Below are 19,324 nucleotides of genomic sequence, written 5' to 3'. Positions count from 1 at the left end.
ATCAACAAATTAGAAGTAGGCAATTAGAAAAGGAAGAGAAAATACTATCATCTATTCATTTAAGAAATATTTAATGAGCACCTACTTTTTGCCAGGCATTGTGACAAGGTAACAGCATGAAAGCAACAAATGAGAAGGCTATACTACCAAAGAAAGACATAAAAACTACATGCAGTAGTCTGGAACCATTTGGAGGCAAGCAAATAGCCTTAAATATTTCAAAAAAAAAAAAAAAAAACCTCTGAGAAATTGATGCTTTAGTGACCACCCAGAGTCCATGAAGAGATTCAATTAGACCAAACACACTCTAGGATGGCAGAAACAAAATAGTAGATTTTCAAGTGATAAAATAGGTTAAATAAAAAAAAAATGCTTTTGTTACAAAGAAAACTAAACTACCAACAGGATGACTTTCTTCCTGAAGGGTCTGGAGGACTGAGATTCACCCTCTTCTGACCGGGTTCAACCATTAGGAAGTTCAGAGTAAGATAAAGATCAAAGAATGACCTGGTTTAGATCTCAAAAAGCTGGATAAATGATCATGCACTTGATAAAAGATGTTCTCAGAGCACAGGCCAGAAAAATCTCACTCAGCAGGTGCCAGCAAATTTCAGCTCCAATGCAATGCCTGAAATTCCCTCTGTAACGGAGGCGAACATCTTCCATCTCGCTCAAAACGCTATTGATACAGCTAAAATTGAACTATTTTCCTTAGAACTAAAAAAAAAAAAAAAACTGTCTGGAGGGTAGAAACTCATTTTAGTCAACTGGCATGGGGTTTTTATCTGGTGTTTTAATATAAAACGTGAAAGATTATTTGCATCTTTCAAGGGTGGAATGATCAGGTGTATGTTGCCTTGTTCATGGAAACTAAGGACATGTTTCAATCAAAAGAATCCTTGCATCCACATCTACACAGAAATCAGAGTAAAACTAGGTGCATCCTAGGTCGTATTTCAATAGTGCATGGAGTGTCTTATAACTGAACCAATGATTTCACTGTGAGAAGTATTATGTTGAAACTCTTAGGAACCTAAGTATATTGGTACGCTTATTATCCTGCAGTTCATGTTGCATAAATTTAGTAGAGGAAAGGATAAATGTAACAGCCAGTTTGGTAAATGCCTCTGGGGAAAAATGTGAGTTTAGCCTTTTAAGATATCAGAGTTTATGTCACTAATTTTCAGTTCCAGCAATAAAAAAAGCCAGCTTTTGTTCACAAACAATTGGATTAATAAAATCAATACTCTTAGTCATAAGAAGTCCACAGAACAAACCCAAAACATCTCTGATGTGAACAAAGAAAATTGAAATAGATTAAACCCTCTGGTGATTTAGTTCCAGGATGACGGGGGAGTAGAGTGGGAGGGAGAGTGGAGAGCTGTGTCTTATCATATAATAAAGGAGCACTTTATCATCTATTCACAAAAAGCCCTAGAAATTAAACATGATCCACCACCTACAACTATTACTTTCAAATGCTGGATGACACCAAAAACGGGTGTTTACAGATAAACTCAAATGTGGGCCTCTCCTCTGGTTTTCAAAGCCAATGACTCACAAACAATATACAATTGGAAATGAGCTTAGAGATCTAGAGTATTACTCATACCTTTGTCTTCACAGCTCCAGTCAGAACTATCCCAACATCCTCAACTGACCTCAATTCTGTAAATTGCATAAGTGACCAAAAATTCCCTTTCCTACAACTATTTGGAAACCACAAGATATTTTCATAAATAGGTTTCTGTAGTATGCTCCAATGAGAACAACGGCACTGCAGGAACAGCTATCAGTAGTTCCGGTTGAAGGCTACTGCAAAGACGATGGATTTTTAGATGGTTTCGTGGCAAGCATTATTGTTATTTCCAATGGTAGAGAAGCTAAAAAAACTCAGACCCATAAGAAGGATACTCAATATCTTATCAAGGAGACGCAATAATTCTAACTATCAAGAGCAGAGAGATAGATCTCTTTATAGTCTCAAAATCCTGTTCTAAGAAAAAGGCAAACCATCTCAGGAGAAAGTAATTAGATGTCTCCAACTATTTCAACAAGTGCTCACGGTCTGGTGGCAGAGGTTGCATGTGGCCATTTATTGCCAGCTAGAAAATGACCTTCACAGAGGAGAACTATCCTGATTTTCTATAAACTGCCAAGTTCAAATTTCTATTACTAAACAAATCTAATTTTGACACACCCAGAAGAAAATCCAACAGATCTAAAAACCAGATGGGAAAAAATACTCACAAACCTTCCTTCAGGCCTTAGATAGTCACTATTACTTTATCAGGACCATTTTCCAAACTGCAAGAGAAAATTGATTGTTTAAACAATACTATTTAACAATCTCTCATTAATTGACATTTCCCAGTTGCTGAGTTCACCCAATTACATTAGCCTTTAAACAGCCAGCATGCTTCCATAATTTTTAATAAAAATGGTCATTTTGCAAGGTTTAACTTGCTAAATAAGGGTATTAATTTCAATAAAGCAATTAGCACATTTACATAATTTTATATTGTTATTTTAATAGAACACAAGAGCTTTAAAAAGCAGTTACTAACACAGGAAGGAGAATAGTGGTCTATTCACTTGCAAAAACTAAACTTTAGCTCTGTGATAAAAACTTAATAATAATAGCTCTTTCTATTACAGAAATCAGTGAAATTAGAGAGTTAAGGGCTTGAAAGTAGGCAGTCAATATGCTTCCACGTTAACATCTGGACAAAGAGGCAATGTGGGAGAGGAAGGGAGAAAGGAAGTTCCTCCTAGGAATATTACAAAGCTACTTATGGGTAGAAAGCTGTGCCTAGGTTTTCAACTATACTGCTGTGATAGAGCAGGCTGGCCAACAGGATGTGTTGGTAAGGAGGCCCAGAGCCCAAGAGAAAGGGAAGGAAAAGGCTGTAAAATGAAATTGGGTTATCACTGGAAACATGCTGCCATATTCAGATGTCCCTTTAAATGACAAGTGTTTGCCTTCGTAGGAGCTTGTGTCCACATTTGAATGTAACAAATATCTCCTCCTGACAACTGCCTGGCAGGAACATATGGCCAGCCTGGCCTCGACAGCATACATTTATTTTGATTGAATCTCCTCTTCAGTGCCAGAGATTGGGCATGCCCAGGAACCCTTGTGGTTCCCACCAACATTGTCTCCAGGAGCTGATTGGAGGCTAATTTTTGTTGGGGGGTGTAGGGGGAGGTGCAGGACCACAGAGTTCCAGGCTTCTCGAGCTGTAGATAAAACACAGAATGAAACACATACTCCCTCAGCCACTCTTTCTATTTCATTCATTCATTCATTCATTCATTCATTTATTTATTTATTTTGACAGGGTTTCACTGTCACCCAGGCTGGAGTGCAGTGGTGCAATCATAGCTCACTGCAGCCTAGACCTCTGGGGCTCAAGTAATCCTCCTGCCTCCTGAGTAGTTGGGACCATAGGCACGCACCACCATGCCGTTAATTTTTTTTATTTTTTATTTTTTAGTAGAGACGAGGTCTCCCAATGTTGCTCAGGCCAGTCTCGAATTCCTGGCCTCAAGGGATCCTCTCACCTCAGACGCCCAAAGTGCTGGGATTACAGGCGTGAGCCATCATGCCTGGCCAGCCATTCCATTTAAAATTAGGGAGACTTATCTAATACTTGTGTGTAGGCAGGACTGAGGACCTAGACAAAATGAAGGGAAGGAGGAGAGGTAGCTTGAGTTCATCTTCCCTGGATACCTGAAGATAAATCTTGCCAACAACAAGGGGTAGGGGATGAAGTGGGGTGGAGGAAAAGAATTTCAAGAATAGCAACAGCATATTCCTCCATCATAAGACTGGTCCCAGTTCCCACCAACCTACTCAGCCTTCTTTTCAAGTAACCCAGGCTTGAAACTGTTACCTGGCATGTTACTTGGGGCCAGATTGTTGACACAGGCTGTAAGTCACACCTGCATAAGCTAAGCGACACTCTCAGGATCTCACAGCAAGTTCCCAATGAGACACAAAGACCAGAAAAATAATGGTAATATTTATCCCAAAAGGGCAAAGGGTCCCTGGGATTTATTTGGTAGCACAATATAAAGGAAAGAGTTTGTACTGGAGTTACAATAACTTAGATTTGAATTCTTAACAGCTGTGTGGCATTAAATAAACATTTAAACCTTTCTGGGCCTCAATATCTTCATCTGCATAATGGTGCTGTAGTAAATAAATAACTTTTTCCTGGAGTTTGAATATTTACAGATAAAATACATGTAAAGTATCTAGCAGTGTTCTTAGCACAATGTGTGCACACAAAATGTTAGATGAATCTAAATTTAAACCTTGGCCAGTGATGTCGAAAAGTAGATCAAGGTGAACATGAACAAATATATCTACGTTACAACAGTAGTAAGCTTCTCCATTTCTCTACCTCAGCTGAAAAATTGCAGATGTATGGAGTAGTCTTTGTTTTAGGTGGGACTCAGTAGATGCCTAGGGGAGCTGACACAAGGCATGTGAAAAACAATGTCAAGAAATTAACGGATGGCCGGGCACGGTGGCTCACGCCTGTAATCCCAGCACCCTGGGAGGCTGAGGCGGGAGGATCACGAGGTCAGGGGATCGAGACCATCCTGGCTAACACGGTGAAACCCCGTCTCTACTAAAATTACAAAACAAAATTAGCCGGGCGTGGTGGCGGGCACCTGTAGTCCCAGCAACTCGGGAGGCTGAGGCAGGAGAATGGCATGAACCCGGGAGATGGAGCTTGCAGTGAGCCAAGATCACGCCACTGCACTCCAGCCTGGGCAACAGAGCAAGACTCCATCTCAAAAAAAAAAAAAAAAAAAAAAAGAAATTAATGGATTCATTACTGATTTTGCAAGCTGTAGTTTGAGTAGAGTTGGAGGCTTCATTTTGGTAACCATTTAAAATTTAAAACACACAAGTTTTGCATTTGCACTGCTGGGATTTCATCCATAAAACATATTTATTGACCTATCATGAAGACTTATTCTTTCAATTAATTACTAACAATAGAAATTCAAAGCAATCAATTTTACAGGATAAAACTGAAAGCTAGGGGAGTTGAGGAATGTTGCAGGCATCTGTGGCCATTAGCAAGCTCGTGGAATGAAAGCAACGGTTTGGGCATAGATTTCCAGAGTTTGGAATGCTCCTGCTAAGAATAAGAAAAGGGGGCCCAGCATAGTGGCTCATGTCTACAATCTCAGCATTTTGGGAGGCCAAAGCAAGAGGATCCTTTGAGGCCAGGAGTTCAATATCAGCCTGGTTAACATAATGAGACCCCATCACTACAAAAAATAAAAAAGTTAGCTAGGTGTGGTGGTGCATGCCTGTAGTCCCAGCTACTTGGCAGGCTGAGGCAGGAAGATCGCTTGAGATTGGGAGGCCAAGTCTACAGTGAGCAATGATCATGCCACTGCACTCTAGCCTGGCCACAGAGTAAGACCCTGTCTCTAAAAATAATAAATAAGTAAATAAATAAAAAGGAAGGTAAGGAAAGGGGTGAGAAGGGGCCTCGCCTATTCACATGCAAAAACTAAACTTTAGCTCCATGATAAACAATGTAATAATAATACTTCTTTCTATTATAGAAATCAGTGAAATTAGAGAGTTAAGGGCTTGAGTTAAGGGCAGTCAATATGCTTCCACAGGTAGGACCAAACTGGATGTTTTTGACCATAGATCATGAAGCTAAACTTCAGGTAATGAGGAGCATTATCAACTCCCTTTTCAGAGGCATTTGATTTAAAGGCACCTTTTAAATTCAAGAAACATTTCTTGAGTACTTGCTCTATGCCGTGCAGCGTGCCCAGCACTGGGATTTAAGAGGAACCCCATAGTCATGATGCCTGCCCCTACCATCTGACAATCTAGTGGGATGGCTAGGCAGCCAGTCCTAACAATGGGGTGTGATAATTCTGATACCTCTAGAAGGTGTGTAAGCACAGCGAAGTGCTAATAACTAGACATGTGGGGGCGGGGTTTGTGGAGTGCAGCCCTTGGGAGAGGGCTGAAGCGGGCCTTAATGGATGAGTAGAGATTAGTCTGGTAATGGTGGAGGGGCTAAAGTAGAGTAGAGGAAGGGGATTTCAGGCAAAAGGGACAAGGCAAAGCGAGAGAGTAAGGCTTCTTTGAGGATGGGAGGAGCTTAAGCGTGACCCTGACCTGTAGGAAGTGGTAACAGATGCACTTAGAAAAGTAAATAAGGGATAAAAGCTAAGAACCCCTAAACCACTCAGGGCACTGGCGAGCCATACAAATATTTTAAAGTAAAGAACACAGGATCCAATTTGCATTTAAAAAGATCCAATTGGGAAGCTGTTGCAGAAACAGGGAGGGAGGGAGTGTGATGGACAGTGAGGATGAAAATAAGTAAATGCATTAGAGGTGTTTAGCCTGTACAGTCTACAGAATTTGGTGATGAATTAAGTAAGCATTTAGCATGAGAGGCAGCACGTGGTCAGCGGCATTCAGTAAGTCAGTGCTAGGAGAAAAATATGCCAGATTGATGAAAATAGATTTATTATGTAAACATCTCCAAAGAAAAAGTTCAGATTCCCTTGGTATTCACATAGGCTTTCAAAGATATGCATCTATACATACATATGTTTAGGATCTTTCTCACAACAGATTTTTCTTGAAGATACTCAAACAAAAGCATCTTTAAAAAAAAAGTGTGATTCATTTTACACCATATCATAGGAGTTATGCTTACATAAATCCAGGGGAAAACACTTGACCACATTTGGGGTAAAAAAAAAATTTATTGAATTTTAATAAGAATCCATTTCCCATGTATTTAATTAAAATCATGATTGGTGACAAATGTAAATTAGCACAAGCATACCAAACTATTTGAACATAACTTTGCTCATACCCTTTATTTTAATGGAGAATAAATATAATCCTTCTTCTAATTAGAAAATTGAAATTTGGAAAAGAAAGGACATTTAAATTTATTAGATAATTATGAGGTGCCAGGAAGAGTGGTAAGATGATTTCTGCCAGAAACTTTTTGCAGAGCTTACCTGCCGTAATCCAGCCTGTGCTTATGTCTCTGAGCTCCCTTAATACCACTCTCACTACGACTGCGGGCTCGACAGTCTTCCTTCTGTTCCCCAAACCATCAAGCTACTGTCCGTCTCAGGGTCTTTGAACTTTACTTTTACCCTTGCCTGGAACATTATACCCTAGGATCTTTGTGTGTTTGGTTTCTTCTCAGCATTTAGATCTCAGCCACAAAGAAATGAAGTCTTCTCTGATAACTCAACCTGAAGTGGTGTTCCTATCTCTTCCCTTTCTATTTCATTTCCCTGGGCCTATTTCTTTGATAACACTCATCACTCATGAAAAATACCTTACTGAATTCGTCATCTCCTTCCTACTCTACTGTCTTCCCTCCTTCCCTCCACCCAATAGAATGAAAGTTGGGCATCTTATTTGTCCTGTACATCCCTCTTTCCCTAGCACCTAAATAATGCCTCAACCATAGTAAGTGCTCAATGAAATATTTATTAAATGAATACATGAGGACTTCATGAAGTAGAATTTTTTAAAACCCTGTTTTATACATGAAGAGATTCAGAGACATTAAGAAACTTGCCCAAAGTCACACAGTAAGTACATGGGAAAAAAAAAAAAAACTAGTAATTTATCCACAGATTGTCTTTTCCAAAACCATTTACAAGGCTGCTGTTGGAGAGGAAGGCAAGTCACACTGAGGCCTAACGGGTGTACTACATAGAAAGTTTGCTATTTGTGCTAGTATTTACCAATATTGTACTGATATAAGATGCAATGAGATATATAAGACAAGAATGGGCAAAAGCAAAAGAAACAATCTCTGGTCTCACTGCAACAATTGTCCTGGTTAAATTACAGAGTACCCAGGAAACTTAATTCTCATCAAACAGGTACTGTCAGCTGCACAGAAAGTCAGAAGGGCTGTGGAACTCATATATTTATACCTCAGTGTGTCTGAACACTAAAGTTCACAGCCTTCTGGGACACCATCTTTTACATTAGATTCACGTTCCTTAGCAGAGTGCAAATCCCATTTTGCTAAATAAAGGGTTGTCAGAAAGGGCTCCATGAACAGTAATGCCTGCTTTCGTTCATTCATTCAATAGATATTTACTTGAGCACCTACTACATGCTTGGTCTAGAACCTGAAACTGCAGTAGGATGCAGGAAGAGAGGGAGGGAGCCTTGTGTACACTAAGAGGAAGACTATTAGGACAGGGAACAGCAGCAGCAGAGGTCTTGAGGTGGGAGCATATCCAGCATATTTGAGGCACACAGCGAAGTCCAGGGGTGCAACCAAAAGAAAGTAGGCAGAAGAGGAGGTCAGAGAAGAAACTGAGTTCAAATGGTGGACAGCCTTCCTGCTAGATATAAGAGCCTTGGCTTGTATCTCGAGTGAAATGGGAGGCCATTGAAGACAGATCAGAGCTCACGTGTCAGGCGCCCTCTGGCGGTTTTGCTGAGAATGCACTTATGAATGAAGGAGGAGCCGGGAAAAGACCTAGCCTCAAGTGCAAGGGTGGGGAGACTGGAGAATTCGGTACATTCCAGAAACAGAAAAAGCCCAACATGACTGCACAAGAGTGAGCAAGGGAGAGAGTGGCACTAGATGAGGACTCAGGGGCCAAATCAGGCTGGGCGTCTGGAATGAACTTTGAATATAAGGAAAGTCACCATGCAAGGATGTTTTAATAAAATAAGCCCAGCACCTTGGGCAAAGAATGAACTCCTAACTCTTTCCTTAGCCAACAGTGGGACCTAAAAATGTGGTTTTCAGGCACAGACTAAAAAATAGCCTTAATTTTTTTAAAAGCATGCCAATAGGGTTATAATCACTGAATACACAACCTCAGGTGTATTTAATGACAGACATAGTGGTTATAATGTTAAAGTCCTTGAGGGATATAGAAATCTAACACTATCATTCTAGCTCCAAAGAGGGTTTTTGTAGTTGGTTGCCTCATCACACTCTCACTACCAATAAACTGCCTCATTTCTCCGTGACTACTCATATTGGACAAAGACATTTTCTGATATTTAGGAGAAAGAGACCTAAAATTGAAGTAGAAACATATTTGAGAACTTAGCTCAAAAGTTGTTTTTTTTTGTTTGTTTTGTTTTGTTTTGTTTTTTGAGACAGAGTCTCACTCTATGGCCAGGCTGGAGTGCAGTGGCGCAATCTCGGCTCACTGCAGTCTCCTTGTCCCGGGTTCAAGCAATTATCCTGCCTCAGCTGCCTGCCTAGTAGCTGGGACTACAGGCGTGCACCTCCACGCCCAGCTAATTTTTGTATTTTTAGTAGAGATGGGGTTTCACCATGTTGGCCAGGATGGTCTCGATCTCCTGACGTCATGATCTGTATCCCTTTTTCTTTTTCACCCTCAACAAGAATCCGTGAATTCTAAAAACTAGTCTATTAAAAAATCTCTATTTCTATATATCTATATCTGTATCTGTATCTAAATCTATAGCTGTATCTCTACCTATATCTATGTATCCATCTATCTATTTATCTATCTATCAATCTATCTACCTACTTATCTCTTGGAAAATGAGCAACTCTTTATTCTGACCATAGCATCCTTTGCATTAGATTGCCTGGTTTGATATGCTGCAAGAACAGCTTATCTCTGATGGAGTTCAAAACCAAATATTAACGGCTAATCATGCAGCGAGCCACAGGCACATGCTTGCTGACACCAGTAATTGTCTGCTTGTAGGAGTCAGTGCCTGAGGGGAGGCAGAAGTCACTCAGTTGAGCTTCTCTAAGTGAGCCATGCAGGCTTTGGGTGACACATGGGGATTTATAGCTGGAAGTGGAGAGGGGAGATGTCCCACCAACCTCCACCAGCCATCATTGGCCCTGGGACAGAGCCTACTCAGCATCTTTGGGAGGTTTATTTCTACAGCATGAGTGGGAAGGAAACAGAGCTGAGGATTTCACGTCTGGGTTAATTTCACTTCAAAGCTAAAGAAGTAACAGCTAATGTGTTATAAAACACTTTGAAATAGGTTTTTCTGATTTTGGGGGGAATCATTTGGAATTTCTGTCAAATCGCATTGGAAATGGAAGGAAATAAAGCACGGTGGGCAGAATCATGAATTCCCAACAATGTCTATGTCCTAATGCCTAGGACTTGGGAATATGTTACTTTACATAGCAAAAGGGACTTTCCAGATGTGATTAAGGTTAAGAGCCCTGAGGTGGGGAGAATATTTTGGATTATCCAAGTGAGTTTGAACTCATCCACATGTCCTTCTAAGTGGGGAAATTTTCCTGGCTGTGGTCAGAGGGAAATGTGACAACTAAAGCAGGCTCAAAGAGAGGCTACACTTCTGGCTTTGAAGATGAAGGAAGGGGCCATGAACCAAGGAATGGAAACAGCCTCTTGAAGCAGGAATCCAAGCGAAGAAAGAATCTTTGCTATGTGCTCCAGAAAGAGACGAAACCCAACTAACACCTTGATTTTAGCCCAGTGGAAATCCAGTCGGATCTTTTACCTATAGAACCGTAGGATAATCAATGTGTGTTCGCTTAAGCGTCTGTTGGTGGTAATCTGTTATGACAGCAATAGAAAAAAAGAATATGTAAGGTTTTTAGTTGCATTAGATACAAAATTAAACCACTCCAAAAAATCCTCATCATTTTTTTTTTCAAGTGATGTGGTACGTTTTTTAAAACCTGTTTAATAATGGTAGCTGATTCTATTCACTGACTTCTCTGCAAATGGAAATGGGGATTAGGTATAACATCAAACTAATGAATGATTGAAGGACAAAAGGTCTTAAGGCTGTTAAATCCCTTAATATTGTAGTAAGTAGGATCAAAAGAGAGATAGGATATAAGTTTTCTTTTAGAAAATTAAGTGATTGGGCAATGAGAATGCAGGACTTTATTATGCTAAATACACATGCCTATTTCCCAGTACACTGGCATCTGCAAAGACGACTGCAGCTTTCATTCCAGCACAACACCCACCCAACTTCGTCTTCTGCATAGAGTTCATTCCAGATCCTCTTCTGAGTAATACATTTTACATTCAAGTAGTAACTAAGGGAATCTAAAGCTGCAGTGTAATATGTAAACAATAATAAATTGTCCCCTTCCTTCCTCTGGGCTTCCACTTTCACTCAAATCTCTGATGTCAGTCCAATACCTCTATTTAAATTATGGTCTCGCATTCAACCACGAGTATATATTATTCTTGCTCCCTATTGAATACATCTTCTAAGAAGATGCACTGAAATAAATAAATGCAATATTTCAGAGAAAAACATGCAAATGAATAGAATCCTTTTACAAACACAGCAATCTGATGTGAGCATCTGCTATAACTACTCACTTACAAACAGGGGTGGGGAGAATCACTTAAGTATCTACAATAAATTCAAATATAGAGTGCCTACTAAGGAAAAGGTTGTATTAGCATCCCGGCATATTGATGAGACATCAGACTCTTGTCATTCTTAGTGCTACAGATGGTAGAAGGGAAGTATGTACTGGAACATCCGTTGGTTTCATCACTGCCTGGACTATCCGGATGATGCATTCTCTGTCAGTATGCAATCTTTGTGTGCTTTCATATTTTTTTCATATGCATGGCTAGGTTTTATGTTTAACTGTTTGTTTATTTTTAACAATTTAATGTCAAATATGTCTACTCTTTTTCAAGTAGGTAATTAGTAATATTCTATCAAAAACTAATTAATATGAAATACTAGATCAGTGTTTCCTGTCCCGTGTTTTGTGGAACACTTGTAACTTCAAAGTTATTTCTTAGAAAATTGTTTTTGGAAATGCTTTTTGTTTTTAAGTACTCAGAATCATTCTATAATAAAGAAATCTGTTTATTAGACACAGAGCTTCCTCAGTTTATTGGATCTTAGAACCTCCCTTCCCCAAGCCCCCCCCTCTTTTTAACCCACAGAAAATGTGTTATTATCCTTTGCATGCAGTGGAGTGCAGTTTGGAATATGCCATTCTACAGCAAGGGTTCTCAACCTGTGTGCTTTTGACACCTGGGCCAGGTAATTATTTGTTGGGGGTGGTGGGAGGGTGTTGACTTGTACATTTCAGGATGTTCAGCAGCATCCCTGGATTCTATCCACTAGATGCTAGTAGCACTCACCCACGTGTACAAAACAAAAACATCACCAGACAGGGCAACATTCCTTGAGGTGGCAAAATCGCCACTGGTTGAGAACCACTGTTCTGGAGGATCTGCTCAGTTCTGCAGAAGACTCTCTCGCATGTACTTTATTGCCAATATTCTGGTTATTTAGATTTTACTTTCTTCTGTCCATTAGTCCTAACTCGAACTTCTTCCACAGCTTAGGCTATTAATTGCCTGTCATTCTGCACTCATTCTCAGTTCATCAAACATGCACTTCACCTTTTACCTCCTTAGAAACACATCTTTTCCTGTGGAAACCCCACTCCAGCTGTTCGAAGCTTCCTTCTGGTCTCCAGGATCTCTGAACTCAAACCCTTAGGAATTTTTCTCACATCCTAGTGTTGTCCTAAAATCTCAATTCTTGTCACCAAAGAACTGCCTTCTCTCTCTAGTCCTCTGTGCTATGTTATTGAAACCATGGGTATTGACAGAAGAACAGGACTTGGTCCCGCGGAGTCTTCACAAGTATGTAGGCCAATCCATTTCAAAAAGTGTTTCCATCCTGAAATTTAGCTCGTAAGTTATGCGTGTTTTTAATAGGAATGGAATCTTCAATTTGACAAAGAATTTCCTTCTTCTCATCTACTTTAACTACATTCCCAACCTGTCTTTGCTTTTATGGGTAGACATCTTTTTGTCTTTATTTGCATATAAATGCAGAATAATGCTTCATACCTAAAAAAAGCATTATTAACATATGGATTGAGTTCAACATCAGGTTTAGTTGTATACCTGAAAAACATAAAAACTAGAAACAATAATAAATATGTCTTTTGGGCATGTGTGTCTTCAGGACTATGCTCAGTGCTTTATATATTTTCTCTCTAATTCACACATAAGAAGCTGAAAAATGGGCAGTAGTATCATCATTGTGCTGATAAGGAAACTGAGGCTCAGAGAGGTTAAATGATATGTCAGAGATCACCGAACCGGTAAATTCTTAAGAAAAGAAAAAAAAAAATCCAACCCAAACTATTGACTCAAACTGGACTTTCTTAACTGAAGCCTGCTTTGTTGTGCTTAGAAATTGGCTTATTTTTAATTTGTATGAATCCCGATCTATAATATGACCTCAAAACCCATATTCTTTCCACTATACAATGGATAAAATAATTCAGATATCAAGACTCACTTAACCTGTTTTGAACTATGTATTTGACTTTGGCCCCCTTTAGTCCCAGAGGGTTCTGTAGGATCTGTGCTTTTCAATACTACCAATGGCTCATCCTGAACTTGTTCATCCCAGGAGATTTTTCACACTGCTTTCACGTACATTGTCTCCAGGGAGGCAGAGAGGACAGTGGTGATTACCCTGTTTTAGAGATGCAGACACTGAGCTACAGGGAAGTTGTAACTTGCCCTGGTCACCAGCTCTTCTGTGAGTGGCCCCAAAACAGGACCCAATTTGTCAGACAATAAGCCCAGCACATCCTTTCTACACCACACAGCTTCAGGTGAGGTCCTCGGAGCAGGGCCAGTTCCACAGCAACAGGATGGGGAGTGGAGTCAATTAGGAAGACATGGAAAAACATTTATACAAAAATAAATTGGGTGATAGATCCCCCGAGCTTGACTTTGCAAAAGGAGTTGGAGTTCCCCAAGTCATGTTGCAGGAAGCCAGTAAGTCCCTTTGATTCCGGAAATAACAATGACAGTACAGCTAAAATCCAATTCATATATGCATGCTAGATATTCAGACTTTCAGAACAGCAGAGACCTTCAAAGATCACCTATTTAAAATAAATCTCCTTTGGGAATTAGCAGTGTGAAAATCTCAAAAGAGAAGTCAGGGTATTTGACAAAGGTAGAACTACCAACTTCGAATTCCAACAGGAAGTACACTGTGGTATTTTAGACAAAGTTCTGCTTGCCCAAGCATTTCCTCTGGAATAACACCTGTGAGCAAACAGATACAGTTTCTACCCCACAGAGGTTACAGTCTGTATTTATTTTAATCAATCCCGCTTTGCAGATTCAAAAACAGAGGCTCAGAAAGGTAAACCAAGGGCACACAGCCTCTCGATGCAGCTTTGATTGTATTGAAGAGCTGATTCCAAAGGTCATGCTCAATTCCTTTGCTATAAGTCCTTCAACCAGAAAGGGAAAACACTTACTCAAGAAGCCAAAAAAAATTAATTAATTTTTTTATTCTGAAATTAATAAAATTTCAGAAGAGATGGATGGTATAAAAAGTATAGCATCCTAGCAAAAGTTAATAAGCATTCAAGGAGGCAAAGTGTTCAGAGTATGAGGTGCCTATGTCCATCGAATCTTTCACATACAACCCAGGTTATTTTAGGATACTTGAGAACATGTCCAACCTACTTCTAAGTCATCTCATTTTGAGAACTTAAAGTGAGGCGGGTAGCGGGAGGGTCAGTTCATAGTTGAGGATGAAGCATTCAAAATACTTAATTGAATGCCAAGGTCAGGAAAGCAGGATAGAGTGGTCTTGGTAGTGCTAGAAAGGACCAAAGTTGGCCGGGCATGGTAGCTGACATCTGTAATCCTAGCACTTTGGGAGGCTGAGGTGGGCAGATCACTTGAGGCCAGGAGTTCGAGGCCAGCCTGGCCAACATGGTGAAACCCCATTTCTACTAAACATACAAAAAATTAGCCAGGTGTGGTAGTGTGTGCCTGTAGTCCCAGCTACCAGGGAGGCTGAGCACTTGGATACAGGAGGTGAAGGTTGCAGTGAGCTGAGATTGCACCACTGCACTCCACTCCAGCAGTCTAGGCAACAGAGCAAGACTGTCTCAAAAATAAAATAAAATAAAATAGAATAGAATAGAATAAAATAAAATAAAATAAAATAAAATAAAATAAAATAAAATAAAATAAAATAAAATATAAAAAAAGACCCAAAGTTGAGTAAAGATGGCTTTATGTAAATTTTAGTCACTTGAAAATAAAGTTATAAAAAAGACTTGAAACTGATTTTTTTTCCCTTCGGATTTCTGTATTATAGGCATAGTAATGCTTGTGTCAGAAAGTTTTTACCCAGCTCCCAAATACCACTGCTTAGTATTCATTTGGATTCCTAAGACTTGCATAAAACAGTCTTCTATTTTATTTTTGGCTATTTTACTGGAAGCTGTAAAGCTCATTTTATTTATTAAAAACAAATAAAATGCAACTTTTTTTTCAAGGAAAGGAGCAAAGCTCTGTGCTTCTTGACTTTGGCTCATTTTGCATTCCATTGGCCTCCCTACCCAAAAGCCACAATCTGGAAGGTATGTAAATATTAACAATAAAAGCCAATGAGTGAAACTGCCATTAATTCTAACTGACATGAACCCACTGCCGATGAAAACTTGAATCTTGGTATAAACTCTCAGATGAAAGGCAGGGGAATGATGCACATTTCACAGATACGATGCAACAGCGAGAACTGGGTGGTATTCCAGGAGATGAAAGCTGAAGTCGGCAGACTAGCAGATTGTGGGAGAAGGCATGAATGTTAAAGAGATACCTTGGGATCCTTCAAAATACAGTTTTCCAGTCATCATCAACACCCAAGTGACTTGTTTTCAAGCCTTCGTGACAGGAGTTACTGTTTCCACTACAAAGGACCTCGTCACTTTTCTGCACTCCAGAGTTAATGTGGGCTGAATGGGGGGCCATGCTCCTCCATGGCCTTGAAGAGCCTCGGGCTCCTGGCACACACTGGCAGACGCCTGTGGGTCTGTGCAATGGCTGCAAGGATTATACCTTCACTCCAAACTCCACCACTTTCAGAGCGATGGCAGCAAATAAAGTGTGCCTAATTGCTGGACTTCTACTTTTCCTCTTCATAAAAATCCTATTTAAAACATGTTCAGTCGCTTAAAAAAATATAATTTGTTTAATCCCTAATAACGGAAACTTCTAAAATAGCTGAATCCTCAAACTGAAAAATAGTAGAATGCAGTGGGAATATATTTCGTATTCAGAAGCTTGCATGTTCTATATAAAATGAGAATCCAAAGAGGCAAGTTTTGAACCCACCACTCTGCTACGTGAACTTTTTCATCTGTCATTTTGACTCTAAAGAAAATGTGACCTTATCATTTACTCTGCATAAATGACACTATATGGAAAGGTATATGAAACCGATTGAGCAATTAAATTGGCTTAGTCTTATTGTCCCTAGGAAATCCTGTCTCAATAATAATTTATCAACCTTGGTAGAATTCTGTTGAACATATCTTTGTTCATAACCATAAAATCAAAACATCCCAGGGGTTAAAACAATTGAAAATGATATTTTAATTCCAGTGCTTTAAACCCTTCAATGGCTCATTTTGGATTAACGGGTTGTCATGGCCTCTATAGCCCCTTCATCTGGGCCTCTACCGTAGCCCATGCCACCTGCCTCCAGCTGAAGACTTCTTAAGAAATCCTCAAAGAAACCAGGTGTTCACTATTTTTTTGTAGATATTTTCTCCCCTGCTTGAATTTTAGATTATTGTAACTAACTGTACTCTTTCTCCTAACACATAATTTAAAATCTATCTCCTCTGGCCTATCATGTCAACACAGCTTCCCTCTTGGGATCTTTGCTTGAGCCTTCCCAATCATTGTCCATTGATTATGTACTCCAGATAAGCCATAATACTAATTTATCTGCCTCTTCCTTCCAAGACCAAGAGATTTTTGAGGTCAGAAGCTATGTCCTGTGTTTCTTGGCATCCTTTGAGCCTCACACTAAAATCAGTATAAAGTAGATACTCTTAAGTTCTATCAACAAGAAAGAGAGAGTATTCCATTTAAAGAACCTAAAAAGAAAAAAAGAAATGGGTAGAAGGTTTTCAATTAATTATCTACATCAGTAGTTCAGCCCTTCTAAGCTAACATTTGGAAGCCATTTCCTCACCTATGATGCGTTTCCAGGCCCCACCAATCCTGGGGAGAAATGCTACAGTGTGGGGCTGTCGAGATAGCCCCAGTGGTAATGAGTTTTGGCACAGGGTCTGGGTTGGAGTGATAAGCAAAAGACAGGGAAAATATCCTAAGAACCTCATAGGATTGGTGCTGGTCGACATTTCTTAAGTCTGGCTAATAAATCCTTTCAGTAAATTTGTTTCTTTTATTTGTCTGATTTTCTTAGAAAAGCCAATTCCTATTATTTGTTTATTGTTCAAGGGCTTCCATGCCATTGGTTTGTTGGGCCATACGCTAGCAGGTTGGAAAATCCTGAGCTCAGAGGCTTGGGAAGCCCAGGTGCATGCAAAACAAGAAGGCAGGATTCAATGGACTTGGGTAATTCAGCTAAGAGATGCCACCTTCCCCTTGCTCTTGTTTCCAGTATTTTCTAGAGACTTAGCAGACATCAGACCCAACAATGCCATTCTCAATGCACGAAACAACAGAAGAAAGAGCAGAGATAAGATCTATAGGGAAGGGTAAACCCACTCCCCAATCCATGCGACTTCTTGCCCTTGCAGAAGAAGCAACTTAAAACTCTCTTTCTTCAGTCTAGTGCAAAGAAAACCGCACCATGGGGGAAGTGCTAGAACATGAAAATCAAGATCCCTTCACAACAAAGTAAGAGGGAAATGTGTCAGGAAATACATGGAAATCCCTACTTGTGATCACACTCCTGGCTATAAAGAAGGCTTTGTGAAGTGCTCAATTCCATGTCCCTCACTTATTACAACATGAACAGCCTGAGTCAGAAGGCAAGGCTGAGGTGACCCTCACTTCTTTAGGGTTAAGCTTCAGTGATTTGATGTTTCTTCTATTCAGGCAGGTTATGAAAACTTCCATAGCTGGCACACAGGACTGTTCAATGGTCTTGTGGAAAGATAAATCCAGACCTTGTGAGTAGAGATAGCATATTCTGAACAATGATGAACTATATAATAACCTCAAGCATGTCAATATTGGGAATGCTGAAGGGGAAAAGGGAAATGAGAAAATGGGAGCAGAGGAAAAATTTTAGGTGCTAAAGAGAAAAAGGGCATCAGGTCTACGTGTGTATGTGTGTGCACGTACGCACGAGTATAAGTGTGTGTTGTACATGAATATGCATATGCATGTACGTGCATGTGTGCTCACCAAATTGTGTGCATATGTGTATAAACACATGTATGCATGTATGCCTGTGCTTGCATGTGCGCATGTATGTGAGCATGGAGGTGCACATGTATGTGCATGTCTGCATATGCACATGAATGTGGTGGTGGGGGTGTGCGCATGCCTGATGCTTGCATATGCAAGTGCATGTGGTCAGCATTCATGGAGGTGTTCCTGAGTTTGTGTGTGTGCATTGTATGTATGTACTTGTGTGTTTGATGTATGAGATCAGTACCCATGCCCAAATTCGTGAAATGATTCACCAGGAAGATAGTACCAGCCAAGTTAAATAGGAAGCTGAAGTGAGAGCGCTCTCAGCCAGCTTTGGCACAGAAATCCAAGGGGAGTACTACAGGATGGGAATTAAAAAAGGAGCTTCCCGATTTCTGGGCTGTTGATTTGGCACTTCTCTCCAGTGTTATATTTTAGAAGAGGGGAAAACAGAATCTTCGTAGGGGGTAGGAAAAATGGCAGAGGCTCAAGGAATTTAGTTCATTCTAATAAACATAGATTATGAACTGGCGCACTCACTGCAAAATACAAACACTATTGTATCCTTTCCAAAATGTCATTAAAAATATACATGTGTATACACACTATACACACGCACATATGTATACACATATATGAATGGATGTTCATACATACATAAAGCTGCACAAACTGTGAGCCCACCAGGCAGGAAAATACTTTTGTCTGGGCTCTGTCTTGGGCTTGATAGGTACAATCAGTTGCTTCTAGCAAGAAGATGCTAAAATCCAGACCTAGCATGATTTTTTCACCTAATAAGAAAAACATGCACACACTAACACATATGGGTGTTTGCCGAAAGAAATATACTGCATTTTAGAGCAAGTTAACTCTTTTCTTCTCTAAACTTCTACTGGGGTAGAACATGGAAAAATATGTTCCAATTTTCTAATGTCTAGATTCATGTTTTATTCCATATTCAAAAAAGCTCCCTCAGTTATAGGCTTTTCTTTCCTTTTGATATTTCAACCTTTACTGAAGCTATGCTTATATTTCTGAATAGGATTATTGAGTAATAGTACCACAAAACCAATTT

General features: G+C 39.8%; 1 protein-coding gene across 14 annotated transcripts in view; it reads right to left on the bottom strand.

The window, feature by feature from the left end:
* Window positions 1-19,324, bottom strand: part of TENM2 (teneurin transmembrane protein 2) — a 1,285,129-nt gene that overhangs the window by 532,222 nt on the left and 733,583 nt on the right. The window contains exon 1 of one of the 14 annotated variants that reach the window (XM_017009669.2): window positions 10,529-10,586. The exons of the other annotated variants lie outside the window; for them this stretch is intronic. The gene's annotated coding sequence lies outside the window, so the exon portion shown is untranslated. Of the gene's footprint in view, window positions 1-10,528; window positions 10,587-19,324 lie in introns of those variants that run through there. 14 annotated transcript variants of the gene reach the window in all.

The sequence above is a fragment of the Homo sapiens genome, chromosome 5, assembly GCF_000001405.40.
Source record: "Homo sapiens chromosome 5, GRCh38.p14 Primary Assembly".
Lineage (NCBI taxonomy): Eukaryota > Metazoa > Chordata > Mammalia > Primates > Hominidae > Homo > Homo sapiens.
This window is presented reverse-complemented; position numbering and strand designations above follow the sequence as displayed.